This window comes from Homo sapiens, chromosome 18, assembly GCF_000001405.40.
Source record: "Homo sapiens chromosome 18, GRCh38.p14 Primary Assembly".
Taxonomy (NCBI): Eukaryota; Metazoa; Chordata; class Mammalia; order Primates; family Hominidae; genus Homo; species Homo sapiens.
This window is the reverse complement of record NC_000018.10, coordinates 59,479,883-59,496,062: the sequence shown is the minus strand read 5'-3', so window position 1 is coordinate 59,496,062 and position 16,180 is coordinate 59,479,883. Positions and strand designations below refer to the sequence as shown.

The 16,180-nt window shown below is 40.1% G+C and overlaps 1 protein-coding gene across 6 annotated transcripts in view; it reads left to right on the top strand.

The window, feature by feature from the left end:
* The window catches only part of CCBE1 (collagen and calcium binding EGF domains 1), a 266,783-nt gene that overhangs the window by 201,659 nt on the left and 48,944 nt on the right, over window positions 1-16,180 (top strand). For all 6 annotated transcript variants that reach the window (XM_024451091.2, XM_017025557.2, XM_047437302.1 and 3 more), the window contains one exon: window positions 15,825-15,877. In XM_024451091.2, the coding sequence (XP_024306859.1) occupies window positions 15,825-15,877 (53 nt within the window). The remainder of the gene's footprint in view (window positions 1-15,824; window positions 15,878-16,180) is intronic.

Genomic DNA, 16,180 nt, shown 5'->3' with positions numbered 1-16,180 from the left:
AAACTCCATAGGACTCAATATAGAGATGGGGTAGTTTCTCTCTTCTAATTAAACAATGCTTCCACTATCAAAGAGCCTAAGTTGTTTTAAAAGAGTATACCCTACACCAGGAACATCTCTTCTTGGGCCTTGGAAGTCCTGGTTGAGTTTAGTCACGTGTTGACCAGCGTGTGATCTACTCTTTGAGAACCACCACTTGTGTAGGTTTGTCCAGAGGTCATTACCACCCGAGAGCGGCAGTTGCCTGGAGAACCAGGGCGGCCGCAGTGCCCCCTCGTACATCTTGGGCTGTCATACCGAACTTACTGTGCGTGCCACATCTAAAGGCACATCAGAGGGTCAGAGGGTCATCTTCCTTTTCCACGTGTTTGCAAAAACACTTCCAAGTCATAGCTGCTCACATATACCAATGTGTGGAATGACCAAGACAAGTTTCTTAAAAAAAAAAAAAAAAGGCAAGCACCCAGGGATGGCGTGGGCCAAGGACATGGCTGGGGAGATGTCCACGTGGCCTAACTGGGCACAGTAAAGAAGCCAGAGAGTTAAAAAGGGAAGAGCTAGTCAGGGAAGTGATGTCAAGGATGCCAACAAACTGGCTGTCTGAACCTGAACAAATCACTTTCCTATTTTGAACCTCTGTTTCCCGCTCTGGAAAAAAAAAAAAAAAAAGAGGCCCTGGACTTGACTGTTAAGGTCTCCCCTTGCTCAAGAATTCTCTGGGTCTGAATAATTATCCAAACCGATTATCCAAAGTACATAAACGGTGATTAACCATGTTAATCACAGTTACGTAATTGTTATATGAAAGTGTGAAATGTTCCATGAATGGCTATTTTTTTTTCAGAGAAAAAGTATAGGTCAAAAAAAGTACACCTCCATCCTCAGGGGAAAAAAAGAAACATGAGCTAGAAGGAATTATTTTAAGACAGATCTTACCTGTTGCCCCAGGCTGGAGTGCAGTGGTGTGATCTCGGGCTCACTGCAACCTTCGCCTCCCAGTTTCAAGCAATTATCCTGCCTCAGCCCCACAAGTAACTGGGACAACATGCCTCGCTAATTTTTTGTATTTTTAGTAGAGACAGGGTTTTACCATGTTGGCCAGGCTGGTCTCAGACTCCTGGCCTCAAGTGATCTGCCTGCCTTGGCCTCCCAAAGTGCTAGGATTACAGGCGTGAGCCACAGCACCTGGTCCCTCCCTGGGTGCATTTATCCATTGTTGGCTTCATCTGCCATGCTGCAGGTCGTCGCTAGAGCTCCATGCCCTGCCTTGCCCTGGAGCTGCCTATAGCCTAAAACATATTAAGCAGCATGTTCAAACTGAATGTAATACCTTCTAGTCATCCCCAACTCTGTGCTGTAAAAATCTTTTGTAATTAGCTCTCTTCTGATTTAATTCATATTCATTCATGGCAACCTCATCCCCCAGGCAGCTCTACAAAAATAAATCTCTAGTCTTGGACTTCTCTGATTTTTTTATTCTGTATATCCAGTGTGTTAGGAAGTCCTACAGATTTTAACCCCAACATTAAAAAAAAAAAAATCTGTCCTCATTTTTCAACTCCATGCTCTTATCTCTAGGCTGAAATATTTTAGTAGCCTTTTTAACGACTCTGTCTGTAGTCTTTTATTTCCAGCCTCTTATGCCCTACAGATTAAATTAGGTTCAGGTTTGGGAGAGACATCCTAAAGGTTGTCTAAGGATCATCTGAACCAAGGATGGAGAAAATTATTCCCCAGAGGAAAGCTGAGCTTGCACAACAGAGAAAGTGGATTTGGGCCACCCTGGAGGGGCAGGGCTGGTAGTGAATGAGGATGGGTGCCCCTTATGTATATCTTTCTAGGGCAGAGGCAACTCCAACCTATGTATTTCCCTGGCTCCTGAAATTGAGTTTATCCTCTGTACTGAGAGGACACATTACACTTCTGTTACGAAGCTTGTATTGCTCTGTCTTGTGTGTCCCTAGCCAGGTGTGTTAGTCCATTTTCATGCTGCTTCCTGAGACTGGGAAGAAAGAGGTTTGATGGACTTACAGTTCCACATGGCTGGGGAGGCCTCACAATCATGGTGGAAGGCAAGGAGGAACAAGTCACATCTTACATGGATGGTGGCAGGCAAAGAGAGAGAGCTTGTGCAGGGAAACTCCTGTTTTTAAAAAATCATCAGATCTCATGGGATTTATTCACTATTACTATAATAGCATGGGAAAGACCTACCCTCATGATTCAATTAGCTCTTACTGGGTTCCTCCTATGACATGTGGGAATTGTGGGAGATGCAATTTGAGATGAGATTTGGATGGGGACACAGTCAAACCATACCACTAAGCATATCCATTTCTCCCACATTGCTCGTTTACCAAATGTAAATCTTACTAATCTGTGTCTCCTGTAACACGCAGTTCAGGGAAGAGGTGGGCTCTGGAGCCCAGCAGCCTGGGCTCATGTCCTGGCTTAGCTACTAATTTTAACAAGTGAAGTGCTCTATGCTCCAGCTTCTCACCTGTTAAAAAAAAAAAAGTTTTTATGAGAATTAAATAATCTATGGAAAATGCTTATCTTGGTATATAGTAAGTTCTTCTTTAAGTCAAACTTAATATTTCCAGTTTTTAACTGATCGGAATAGAAATTTTTACTGTGATATTGGGTCACTGTGAAGTTCAGAATTTAAAACAAATAGAAGGTTCCTCCTCTCATCTGTAAATGATTTAAAGTAGAAATCCTACTTTCGGTGTTACATGAATTTCTCCTTCCAGTGACTTAGGCCTGAATTAATGTCCATTGTATTTCATTGTCCTTGAGGATTTTATGCATGTGAGGAATGGGATCTGTCACATCATGATTTATTAACCTAAGAAAGACTATCTCAGATCACTTCCCTTTTTGTCTTCTCAAAGTCATTACAAGTGAAACTCTCTCCTTTAAGACTGTCCCATTAATTTCTCAAGTGACTGACCTGCAGACGAAACTTGGAATCAGCAAATTGTATTTACAGATTCCTGTACTGATCTATCTCCCTGGAAATGCCACATTTATACAGTGAACTGCAGCAGAAAGGCCGAGCGCCACTGGAACTGCCCACAGTGTGGTGGGAGGAAGGATCACAGCCCTGTCCAAGCAGAGCCTCCTTTCACATTGGGTAATTTACAAGGAAGGCTCTAGACATTTACACTTCAAGGGTCAGCATTCTGTAAGGGTCAAGGGCTCCATGCACAGTTGTTACTGGGGCAAAATAAAGGCCACATCTTCTCTGGGCCTCTTTAGGTGCACTGACTCTGCATTTCAGTGGCCTTTCTTCCATTTCCTTCTGTCATTTTGGCTTTGGATGTGTATTGGGCTTCTGTAATTGAAACCAAAAACAACAGCTTAAATAAGATGGAAATATTTTTCTCTTATGCACAACCGAGTGGTGTCACGGATACAGGTTTCTTGTGTATTGATCTACATCACTAGGGCATTGACGTCACATTGTCCAAAATGGCTCATCACCTCCGCAATCACATTCACACTCATGGGAAGGAGAAGGGGAAGGAGGGAGGGAGGGCATGTGTCCCATCTGTTTAAGGGCACTGCCTGGAAGTTGCCCACCATCAGTCACTCACATCCTGTTGGTCAGTCTAATCCATAAGACCATACCTGGTGGGATGAGAGGCTGGGAAATGTTACCTTAATTCTGGGTGGTTATGTGCCCAGCTGTAATTTGGATTTCGGTTACCATAGATAAAAGGGAATAGCAGATATGGGAAAACGGCTCTGTCACACTAGTGACCTGAAAACGCAGCTGTTGTAGGTAATTTGGGGCTTCTACCAGAGGGAAAAAAAAATAGAAGGCAATATTTTAAAATATGCATGTGGATTATTTGCCATAGACCTCTGGCTACACCAAGAATGCTTTTCTTTTTTTTTTTTTTTTTTTTTTTTGAGACAAAGTCTCACTCTGTTGCCCAGGCTGGAGTGCAGTGGCACAATCTTGGCCCACTGCAACCTCCCCCTTCCAGGTTCAAATGATTGTACTGCCTCAGTCTCCCGAGTAGCTGGGATTATAGGCACATGCCACCATACCTGGCTAAATTTTGTATTTTAGTAGAGACAGGGTTTCACCGTGTTGCCCAGGCTGGTCTCGAACTCCTGAGCTCAGGCAATCCACTCGCCTCGGCCTCCCAAAGTGCCCTCCAGAATGCTTTTCTTTTCCACCTTAGCTGGGGAATAGACCATGAAACGTTTTTTTTTGTTTGTTTGTTTGTTTGTTTGGAGACAGAGTCTCACGCTGCTGTTCAGGTTGGAGTCCAGTGGTGCAATCTCGGCTCAACTGCATTCTCCACCTACTGGGCTCAAGTGATTCTCCTGCCTCAGCCTCCCGAGTAGCTGGGACTACAGGCACATGCCACCACACCCAGCTAATTTTTGTATTTTTGGTAGAGATGGGATTTTGCCATGTTGCCCAGGCAGGTCTTGAACTCCTGAGCTCAGGTGATCCGCCCGCCTTGGCTTCCCAAAATGCTGGAATTCCAGGCATAAGTCACCACGGCTGGCCATTTTTATTTTTTCTATTAGTTTCAAAATATAATGTTTTCTCATTTCAACAGTAATAATGTAATAATTATTTAAACAAACTTAGAAAATACAGGCAAGAAAAATGAAGGCAATTAAAATGCCCACATTTGCAGCTTAGGAGGGAGCCATGAACAGTAAGGTGAGGGTATAAATCCTACAAATGGATCCACCCTGTGAGGAAGGGAAAAAGGTGGGGGAGCAATGGCAGACTTGCAGAGAAAATTTACAGGGTGAGAGGGCGAGGTGGCAAGGGGACAGTTCAGAAACTTTCCAGGATGCTTGGTAACCATGGTGAACAATTTTTGTTATATTGGTCAGTTTATCATGTATCATGCTAATGCTTGAAGCTATGATTTGCTTGATAAATGCCATTGTAGCATTACTAATAGTCATTCAGGTATTCCTAAAATGCTCAGAGAGCTAAGGATAAAATCAAAATAAATAAATGCCCAGGTCTTTGGGTGTTGGATCCCACAATTGTTACTGTTCGCAGTGAACCATATTGCTGCCAAGGAATAGTCTTTCATGCGCTGTCTCCGGACAATGACCTCCAGAGTAAGAGTCACAGCCATCAGTGCTTCCAAAAATTAGCCACCATGGAAATAAATGAGAGCAGAGATTTGTTGGTTTAAACATGTCTTACAAAGGAGAAAATTGTTCCATTAAAATCTTATGTAAAGTAAACCTCTAGTAAGCCAGTAATTTTAGGTGAAAAAAGTAAAATTAATGAATATCCTACTAAATGATACTATGGTTTCCTAAAGCAGTTTCTTAATAATTACCATATGGTGGCTCCAGGTGACTTAGTCAAAAGCTGTTTGGTTAAAACATAGCTGGTCACAACAACGACTTTGTTTAAAATGTTGCTGTTTTGGGTTGGCGAAGTGAATCGTGATTGGCGCAGACATGCCTGTATGTAGTCGTGCCAAACATGCATTCATGAACATCATTCCTTACCCAGTTTCAAAACCAGAAGTTTCTGAAGCCATTGCCAAGCCTGGCATTAGAAATAAACCAAAAGACTTTGAAAAATAATGATTATTTTATTATTTCCTTTATTTTTTCTTACAAAATCAATTCATGCTCATTATAGAAAATTCAGAAAATATGCAAAAAAAAAAAAAGGGGGAATATCCTGTCTCGCACCTGCATAAAGAGAACCACTTGTGAATACCTTGGTGAATCTCCAAACTAACCTTTATTTTGTTACGTAAAAATAAGTATCTCGGCTGGGTGTGGTGGCTCACGCCTGTAATCCCAGCACTTTGGGAGGCCGAGGCAGGCAGATCACCTGAGGTCAGCAGTTCGAGACGAGCCTGCCCAACATGGCGAAACCCCGTCTCTACTAAAAATACAAAAAATTAGCTGGGCATGGTGGGCACTTGTAATCCCAGCTACCCAGGAGGATGGGGCAGGAGAATCACTTGAACCTGGGAGGTGGAGGTTGCAGTGAGCCAAGATCACGCCACTGCACTCCAGCCTGGGCGACAAAAGGAAACTCCATCTCAAAAAAAAAAAAAAAAACTCCTTATGCGTATATAAGTATATACATATACAATATAATCATATTTTATTTTTTACAAAGGTAATATCAAGCCTTTTTTAATTTGTTACATTTTTTCCTTATGTTTTAGTGATGATCTTCTTCTCATTTGAACTAAGGCAAAGGCAGCCAGCAAGCAAGATAATGAGGGTTGACAAGGTAGAAAATTCATTTAGGGAGATAAAGAGGGAAGACTGGGTTCAAAGAGAGGTGGAGTGTGTAGCACTGACTTAGTTGCCAAGAGAAAGTTAATCAGGGCTGGGCGCAGTGGCTCACGTCTATAATCCCAGCATTTTGGGAAGCCAAGGCATACAGATCACTTGATGTCAGGAGTTCGAGACCAGCCTGGCCAACATGGCAAAACCCCATCTCTACTAAAAATACAAAATTATGTGGGTATGGTGGCACATCCCAGTAATCCCAGCTACTTGGGAGACTGAGGCAGGAGAATCACTTGAACCCAGGAGGTAGAGGTTGCAGTGAGCTGCGATTGTACCACTGCACTCCAGCATGGGTAACAGAGCGAGAGTCCATCTCAAAAAAAATAAATAAATAAAAAGAAGAAAAATAAGAAAGTTAATCATTCCAGGGTTCTTGTCTCCAAAGCCCCTTGGGGCTCTGGCCATCTGAGTGTCTGTGTCTGCTGAGGACATTGACCCTGTGGGTCTGAAGCACACTGATATGCCAGGGAGATAGAGAGGACTGTCAGAACCAGCAAGCATGTTCTCAGCCTTGTAGTGTGTGCTGCTGTTGACATCTATAAGTTCTGGGCCTGCTTTCAGTAAACAGAGAACCAATCATATGCCTTTAATCATTGAGATGGATATCGCACTGATCATAAGAAGTCAAATGCTTCAGCAGCCTAAGAGGTTTCACTTCTCTTTTTAGCCAGTAAAATTATTGTGTCTTTGAGCAGGAGTGAACGTGGTAACACATATGGTTGAGACCCTGGTCCCTGTTTTACTGTCACTGAGGACTGGCAGCTTTTCACTTCAAGCCAGGCCTGTGGGAGTTAGACTATAGCAGGGGCTCCTTGTGTCCTGATGTCCCTGCTTGCAGCACTCAGTGTCTTTCAGGTGGGCTCGGTGGGGGAGACACAACAGGAAAAACAGCAGATGTCTTTTTACATGTGCTGTTGGGCTTGATGCATGCCAGCGCTTACCAAGCTCTTGATGCCTTTAAACTCATGTAACCCTCACCCCAAGCTTGTGGAGTGGATAGTGTTACTATCCCATTTTACAGATGAGGAAATTGAGTTAGAAGAACTTAATGTCAGTTATCTAAGGACTGAAGCCGGCAAGCAGCAGAGCCCGGATTCTCACCTGGGGAGTACATTCCCAAGGCCCAGTGCCCAGACTTCCAGGTCTTCTGGTTTTTGAGGAGGTATTTGATTAATTTATGAAAAGATCATCGCTTGCGGCCTTGTTGGAATGAGTACCTTCTGGTTGTTACCTTAGCCCCATTTAATAACTCTCCCACATATACCTTTTACTTTTCTGTAATTTGAACAGTTAAAACCCAGATGATACCATGACCAGGGTTTTAATGATTAGAGGAATGACTTCAACTGAATTACTTCTTCACTTAATTGTTGCGTGTATGTGTGTGTGGCAAAAATAACTGTACATTTTACCATTTTAACCACTTTAGGTGTAAAATTCAGGGGCATTAAATACTTTCACATTGTTCTGCATCCATCACCACCATCCGTCTCCAGAATTTTTCATCTTCCCAAACTGAAACTCTGTATCCGTTACCCAGTAACTTCCTACTAACTCCGTCTTTACAGTCCCTGGCAACCACGCTTCCACTTTCTGTCTCTTTGAATTTGGATACTCTAGGTACCTCGTATAAGTGGAATCATGCCGTATTTCTCCTTTTGTGTTGGGCTTATTTCACTTAGCATAATGTCTTCAAGGTTCATCCATGTTGTAGCATGCATCAGAATTTCCTTTTTAAGGCTGAACTACATTCCATTGTATGTATGTACCACCTCTTTATCCGTTCATCCATTGATGGACATTGGGATGTGTCTACCTTCTGGCTACTGTGAATAATGCTGCTATGACCATTGGTGTACAAATATCTGTTTGAGTCCCTGCTTTCAATTCTCTTGACTACATATCCATTAGTGGAGTTACTGGATTATATGGTAATTCTATGTTTAATTTTTTTCAGGTGTCACTATATTGTTTTTCTCATTTGATCTTGACCATCAGTAATTGTACGTGTTAGCAAGTTATGCCTAACAAGCTTTTTCTGATTCTCTTAATACTGCCACAGAGATTTGGTAATAACAAGCTTACATGTAGATGAACAAATAGGCAGGTTTTGGTGGTGGTGGGTGGAGGGGATTTTGTTTTTAGTTTTATCTTAGTGGTTGCTGTAGTGACCATGATACTCTTAACGTTTGCCTGGGAGGAGCAGTCTTTCTGGCTAAAAGGCTGGAACCAAGCATGCTCAGATGTGAGACTGATTTTATTCAGTTCTGTTCTTGGGGGATGTAGTGTAAAAGGAATTCTAGTAGTTCACACAAAGTCATGCAAAGCTCAATAAAGATTTCAGCAAGGGAAGAACATTGAAAAGAAAGATTCCTCATACTAAAGAACTTTGCAGAAAAATTCAGGACCACTTTTAAACCCTCAGCCTTTTAAAATTAGCCCCAGGAGATCATGTTCTCTGTACTTTCTGGCAAAAAAATCTCTTCCAGACTCCCTTCTTAGGCATGCCACAGTGTGGCTGGAATGATGAAAATTATGCAAATTGGGTTCTCCAGTTTTTATGTCTCGGAAGTCTCCATTTAGGCCTGAGTAGTTGACAGTGCGAGGAAGCCACCATCTAGTGTGCCTTTAGAAGCCTTCATCAGAAGGAGCTCGTTGCTTTGGAATGAAATATTAAATTGAAGAGGTTCTTTAAAAACATTTGGGACTTCTGTGTGCCTGACCAGGATTATCTACTAGAGGCCAGGTTCTACTCAGCTCTCTGGCTTGGTAGCCCAGAGTCTGGAGTTTCTTGGATATGCTTTTTATGATTCTCTTAATATTGTCACTGAGATTTGGTAATAACAAGCTTACACGTAAATAAATAAATAGGTAGGTTTGGGGTTTCCTTGTTTTATTTGGGTATAGTTTTCCAAAAGAATATACCTCTTGCTTCTTGTTGCAGTAGGAAAATGATAGGGGCTACTTGCTTTGGGGTTGGGGAGAAAGATGGAAGTCTTCCTTCTCACCAGACTTGGAGATCATCTTGCTGCACCCTGGTCTCCACTTTCCTTAATAGCTGGTGCTTCTGGTTTCTAAGCCTTGCTGAGGTTCTGCAGGGAGGACTGGCTGGCTTCTCCACGGTAGCCACCCCTGGAGCCTCCCAGGTATGAAGTTATTCCACCCTGCACAATCCTCTTGCCATGTTCATACATTGTGTTTCAGGGTTAGAGAAGCCTCCTAAATCCATAGGGTGTGGGGCTTGCATTTTTATTTCTGGTTTTCATTATTTGAGGTTAACTTGTAAAAGAAGAAAGCAATATAACATTTCTTTTCCGGCCTCTTGAAATCAAAAATTTCTCCCCCTACTTGTCTTCCCCCTATTTCTTCCCCTATTTTGTTTTTAGAAGAAAAGATTTGTCAGCCATTAAATAAGAGGTGGAAAGAAAGAGATGAGTCATAAGATGAAAGCAACTGGGAAGAGTTGCTTTTGCCATTTGCTTGTTGTATTTACAAAGCTGCAGCTAGAACATATTCTGACTGCAAGCCAGGCCCTGTGCTAGGCACCTTTCTTATATTATCTGTAATACTGTCAATTATCTCATAAGGCAGATACTATTTATTCATGTTTTGTCCATGAGGAGTCTGAAGCTCAGCAAGATTAAGGAGCAAGGCCAAGATTAAGGAGCAAGGCCAAGGAGCAAGGCGCAAGCAATCCCTAGCTCTGTAAATGTCAGAGCCAAAATTCTAGCCCACATTTGTTGACCCCAAAGCCAATGCTCCATTTGTTACACATTACCTTAACACCAAGAACTCTCAAATACTCTCAAACATGCAGTTTTCTCTCTCATTAAAAAAAAAAAAATCTGGCCGGGCACGGTGGCTCATGCCTGTAATCCTAGCACTTTGGGAGGCCGAGGCGGGCGGATCACCTGAGGTCAGGAGTTCGAGACCAGCGTGGCCAACATGGCGAAACCCTGTCTACCGAAAATAAGCTGAGCGTGGTGGCAGGCGCCTGTAATCCCAGCTACTCAGGATACTGATGCAGGAGAATCGCTTGTACCTGGGAGGCAAAGGTTGCAGGGAGCCGAGATCATGCCACTGCATTCCAGCCTGTGCAACAGAGCAATGCTCCATCTCAAAAAATAAATAAATAAATAAATAAATAAATAAATAAATAAATATCTGATATATCTGGCGCATGAATAAGCAGCCATGCAAGGAAAACCCCAAATAAATAATAGAAAAATGTACCCTTGCATTGCAGCAAGGGTGCAAATATTTGCTAATTCACTTGGCCTTTCATGGTCACTTTTAGTCTTCTAATACTATAGGAAGTTATTTTTAAAATTCTTTTCTAGTCTCTAACATAATGATCAGCAGACAGTCTGATGATGCAGTCTCTGTTATCTTCATTTTTCTGATGTAGTTTTTCCTTCCAAAAGCTCACACACACTCCTGGCTGGAGGGCTGTATTTCTGCCTGCACGACTTTTATTTATTTATTTTTTTTACATGTGTTAATACTCAGGGGCACCCAGGGGGAAACTCCACAGACTTTCTTGATTACAAGATATCACCCTTTCTATGTAACAACCATCTAATCACTTCCCCTTGCCAAGAAATGAGAAAAGTATTTGTATTTGGAAAACCAAGCTACAACACGTGAAGGGTATTAAGAATGATTGTCTCCCCAGAATCCACACGAGCTTTCCCCATCTTAGTTTGTTTTTCTAAAGATAAAAACCACACAGCAGTGTTTGTAGTTAGATCTAACAAGTGCCCATGCTTGCGTAACAAGATTTCACTTTGGCTGTCTCAACTTTATTGTACGTAAATAATGTTGTAAGTAATCTTTGAAACAGTATAACGTGCAACCAGTGTTTATTTTTTTAATACTTCAGAATATGTCATTATTTATTTTAAATGGTGATTTATGATTGATGGGTGTTTCACATGCAAAATAATGTATTCCCAGGAACTCTAGGGAAGACAGAAGGGCGCACTGGAATCTCACAACTCCTTCCCTTGAGCAGACAGCTGGGGTCAGTTATGCAATTAAAAAACGCAAAGGGGAAATTCTTAGCTAAGCAGGTATGTAAATGATGCATGCCCATCCTGAAACTCAGATCTTCTCTTGATGGAGTTCCATAGCCTTTTGAAAGCATATCAGATCACTTCATTATCTGATTTCATGAAAAGGCAAATGACAGGTTGCTTCTTACTCCACTGCGTGGACAGTCCTAAGCCCTTGAAATGCTCATAAAGGTCACAGTGCCCAAGTTTAATGTCTTGGATGTGGAAAGAGAGATTGTAAGGGATCATATTGATTTGCATGAACTTTAAAACGCCATCAAACAGCTCAGAGGTTGTATCTTAAATGCAGCATTAAAATAGAAACAGACAAATAAAACCATATGTTTAAATGTGATGTTCGATTTGAGTATCAAAAACACGTGGGTTTTTCCCCCTTGTATCCAACTTTCTCATGAATCACTGGAGTTTCAAATCATCTAGTACACTTTTCTTCCTCTTATAGTTTTCTGTAGGACAGCCTCAAGTAATGGAGTAAGGAATAACCGTAAAATTTTAGTGAATACTCAAGCCAGTTTTCCTTCTGGTTGTTAGGAGCTTGAACTTTTTTAAACTATGGAAAACTAGACAGAGTTTAAGTTTCATGCAATATAAAGGTGGACCCTGTACTTCTGGTACCTCATCATAAATTTATATCTTCATGGGCTTCTCTTGGTATGTAAAATTATAATTTAGTTTGAGAGGTTGGAAAATTATGTCTAATAAGAGCACTCTGGACACTGCCACACATCATTCATATTGGTAAATTGGATGGATGATTTCCTTCTAACATAAAATGTCAAATTAATCTATGCTGGGAATTCCAGTACAGGCAGGGGGACCTTAGCTGTATCACTCAAGTCTGTTTTGATAGCATCCCAAATGCCACTGTTTTTATATTGAAAGCATACTTCATATGCTTTTGAAGTAAGATATCTACCACCACTGCATTGCATGTGAGAAATGTTACAGGGAGAGGAATGAAGTGGAGTTGCTGTTCCCAGTTATGCTTCAGAATTTCTGTTACCAAATTTGACTTTTAACAATTGTATGAACTTTTCATAAATTTCACATAAAACTAATTAGGGATTTTATGAAATTTTTATAAATTTTGTTTCAGGAGGAGATTACTTAAGTTTCTCCTAGGAATGTTAATTTACCTGGCAGACCAAATTGTAGTGCAGCAAATTGATTTGACCAATACAGGTTGAGCATCCCTAATCCAAAATTTTGAAACATTTTCAAAAGAAATGCTCATTGAAACATTTCAGATTTCAGATTTTTGGACTGGGGATGCTCAGCTGGTATTCTGCAAATATGCCAAACTCCAAAATAATCTGAAATCCGAACACTTCTAGTCCCAAGTATTTCAGATGAGGGTTACTCAACCTGTAATAAAATCAGATTATACTAATTTGCAAGAGTAGAAAATAATGATCTTAAATAATTTTTTTCATCACATTTTAATAAAAAATAAAGTGTACCAAAATTCTTAGAAGACCTTATGTAACCTACATGAAAGTTCTAATTATTTGACAAAGCTGAAACTTGTTTTAAGACACAGATAATGTCTAATTTCCCAAATCAGTGGTTTGTGCTCCTTTCTCCACCATGATGTGTAAATGGTGTGTTCACACAGGTGACATGATAGGCTGTAGGTGACATGCAGTTCCCAGCTGGTAGACCACGTTTAACTCAGTTTCTCTTCCTAGAAAGCATGCCCAAACACAAATGAGCGAGAATGATGTTGCAGTAGGAATGACCTTGAATCTTATGTCTTTAATAGTTACAAAAAAAAATACTTCTTAAAAACGGTAATTTAACCTTTATAGTCAAAATATCTTGGGGTATATTCTTGAGATTTGCAGATCCACTGTAAGCTGGTTAATTCTCAGCTTCTCATATATGATGATGGAAGTGGTGAAAGCAAGGAATGGGGAAAGTAATGCGAGCAGGAGACAATGAGACAAAGGGAACATTAGCTCCAGCAGAAATGCCAGGGTTGTGCTATTTTACATAAAATGTAGAGACTTTATAACCATATAGGTCCATTTAACCAACTGCCATTTTTTCCTACAGTTGTCATATTTATTGCAACTACATGCATTATAAACCTTGTAAGACAATGTATGTTATTATTTTTGCTTTAAGAAATTCAGAGCAAGTCTTTGCTATTGTGAATAGTGCTGCAATAAACCTATGTGTGCCTGTATCTTTATAGTAGAATGATTTATAATCCTTAGGGTATATACACAGTAATGGGATTGCTGAGTCAAACAGTATTTCTGGTTCTAGATCCCTGAGGAATTGCCACACTATCTTCCACAATGGTTGAACTAATTTACACTCCTACCAACAGTGTAAAAATGTTCCTATTTCTCCACATCCTCTCCAGCATCTGTTGTTTCCTGACTTTTTAATGATCGCCATTCTAACTGGCATACACCATGGAATACTAAGCAGCCATAAAAAAGAATGAGTTCACGTCCTTTGCAGGGACATGGATGAAAGTGGAAACCATCACTCAGCAAACGAACACAGGAACAGAAAACCGCGTGTTCTCACTCGTAAGTGGGAGTTGAACAATGAGAACACATGGACACAGGGACAGGAACATCATACACTGGGGCCTGTTGAGGGATGGGGAGCAAGGGGAGGGAGAGCATTAGGACAAATACCTAACGCATGCAGGGCTTAAAACCTGGACGACAGGTTGATGGGTGCAGCAAACCACCATGGCGTATACCTATGTAACCTGCACGCGCTGCACATGTATCCAGAACTTAAAAATTCTTCATATGTACTCAGATATTTACTGTTTATAATGCTCTTCATTCCTTCCTAAAAATGTACATTTCCCTCTAGTGTCATCTCCTGTTAGCCTGAAGAACTCCCTTTAACACAGGTCTGCTGGTAATGAATTTTTAGTTTTTTTAAATCTGAAATGTCTTCATTGCATCTTCATTCTTGAAGGATATTTTCACTGGATATTCTGGGTTGCACAAGTTTGTTTTCTCAGCACTCAAAGGATGTCATATCACTGTCTTCTGGTTACTGTGGTTTTCTGATGAGAGGTTCGTGGTTATTAAAATCATCCTTTCCCTGTATATCATGTGTAATTTTTCTCTGCTTTCAGGATTTTCTCTTTAGGTTTCAGCAGCGTGACCATGACATCTCTAGGCATTTTGTGTATGTGTGTAGTTAGGCGTTTGGGGCTTGCCAAACTTCTTTAATCTGAAAATTTATGTCTCTCACTCAATTTTGGAGGTTTTCAGCCACTGTTTTTTCAAATATATTTTTCTGCTCCATTTACTGTCTCCTCTCCCTCTACAACTCCAAGTACCAGACCTTAGACTCTGATATTAGCCCACACGTCTCTGTTCCTTTTTTTAAGTCTTTTTTTCTCTTTCCTTCAGATTGGATAATTTTCATTTATTTTCAAATTCACAAATTATTTCCTGCATCATTCCCCCATTCTTCTGCTAAGCACATCCAGCAGCATGTTTAAAAATTTCAGATCTATTTGTCAGTTCTATAATTTCTGTTTTGTTCTTTTAGTAGTTTCTCTGCTGAGATTTTCTGTTTTGTTCATTGCAGGTATATTTTCCTTTATGTAGTTGAACATAGTTAAATAGCTACTTTAAAGTCTGATAATTCCAACATATAGGTTATTTTGGAGATTGCAGCATTGATTGTCTTCTCTTTGAGAATGGGTCACATTTGTACATGTTATGTTGTGGAGAGCCTGCATCTGGCTGTATTCATTCAGAGAGTGTAAATATTTTTCTTCTAGTAGGTAGTTAACTTGGTTAAATTAGCTTGGTTGAAGTGGAGTAAGTATTGAATATTTATGTTAGGAATGACCTGTTTGCTATATTTTAAATTCAGATCATTTAGGTACCTTTCAGTTTCTTATATGGTACAAGTGTTTTAAAAAAAAAAATCACTCAAATGAGAATCAGAATGCTTGGGTTCCAGTCTTGGTCTTAATAGTTGACTACCTAATTATTGTTATATTACAATTAACAATCATTATGTTATAATTAGCCAAGTATTGTTATTATGATTCATTGTTATAATAAACAAGTTGTATCTCTTTGGCCTGTGGAATGAGAGGCCTGGTCACCCTTAAAGGTCCTTTTCCTATTTATGCCCTATACTCCTTTAATTGCTTAATATAAGTATCTTGAAGTCGGAGTTAATTATTTAATTTCATAGGATTCAAAATGTTGATTTCATATATTATGTAGCAGAAAGAATATCCCGGTATTAGAAAATGTCATGTATTATTGATATTTTTTCTTTTAATCTCAGATTGCCTTAAAAATACTTCACCCCTACTTTGCTTTATGCCTCAATGTTTCCTGGGCACAAGTTATTTCATTCAAACAACAATAACTGGAAAGAATTTTATTTTTAGCCTAATTATTATATTTTAAATGTTTGTTTGTCTCTTAGGAAAAAGTGCTGCAAAGGATATAAATTTGTTCTTGGACAATGCATCCCAGAAGGTATGTAATATAAAAAAGATATTGTCTGACTTTATTCACAACTAATCATTCAAAGTCTATCAACTTCAGATGTTCATGGAATATAGGTCTTATCTGTGTCTGATTATCTGTGTATCTGTCTGTGTATATTTTTTGGCATCAAATTTTTCTGACGCCAATTTTGTTATATGTAGCGTGCAGTGTCTGAATCATTACATGATGTGCTTGCACACATTGAGTCATTCTTATATAGTATTTCAGGTTTTATGATTAATGAGCTATAATCCCCCAATTAGCCCATTTGTGTAATTTTACACACAATTA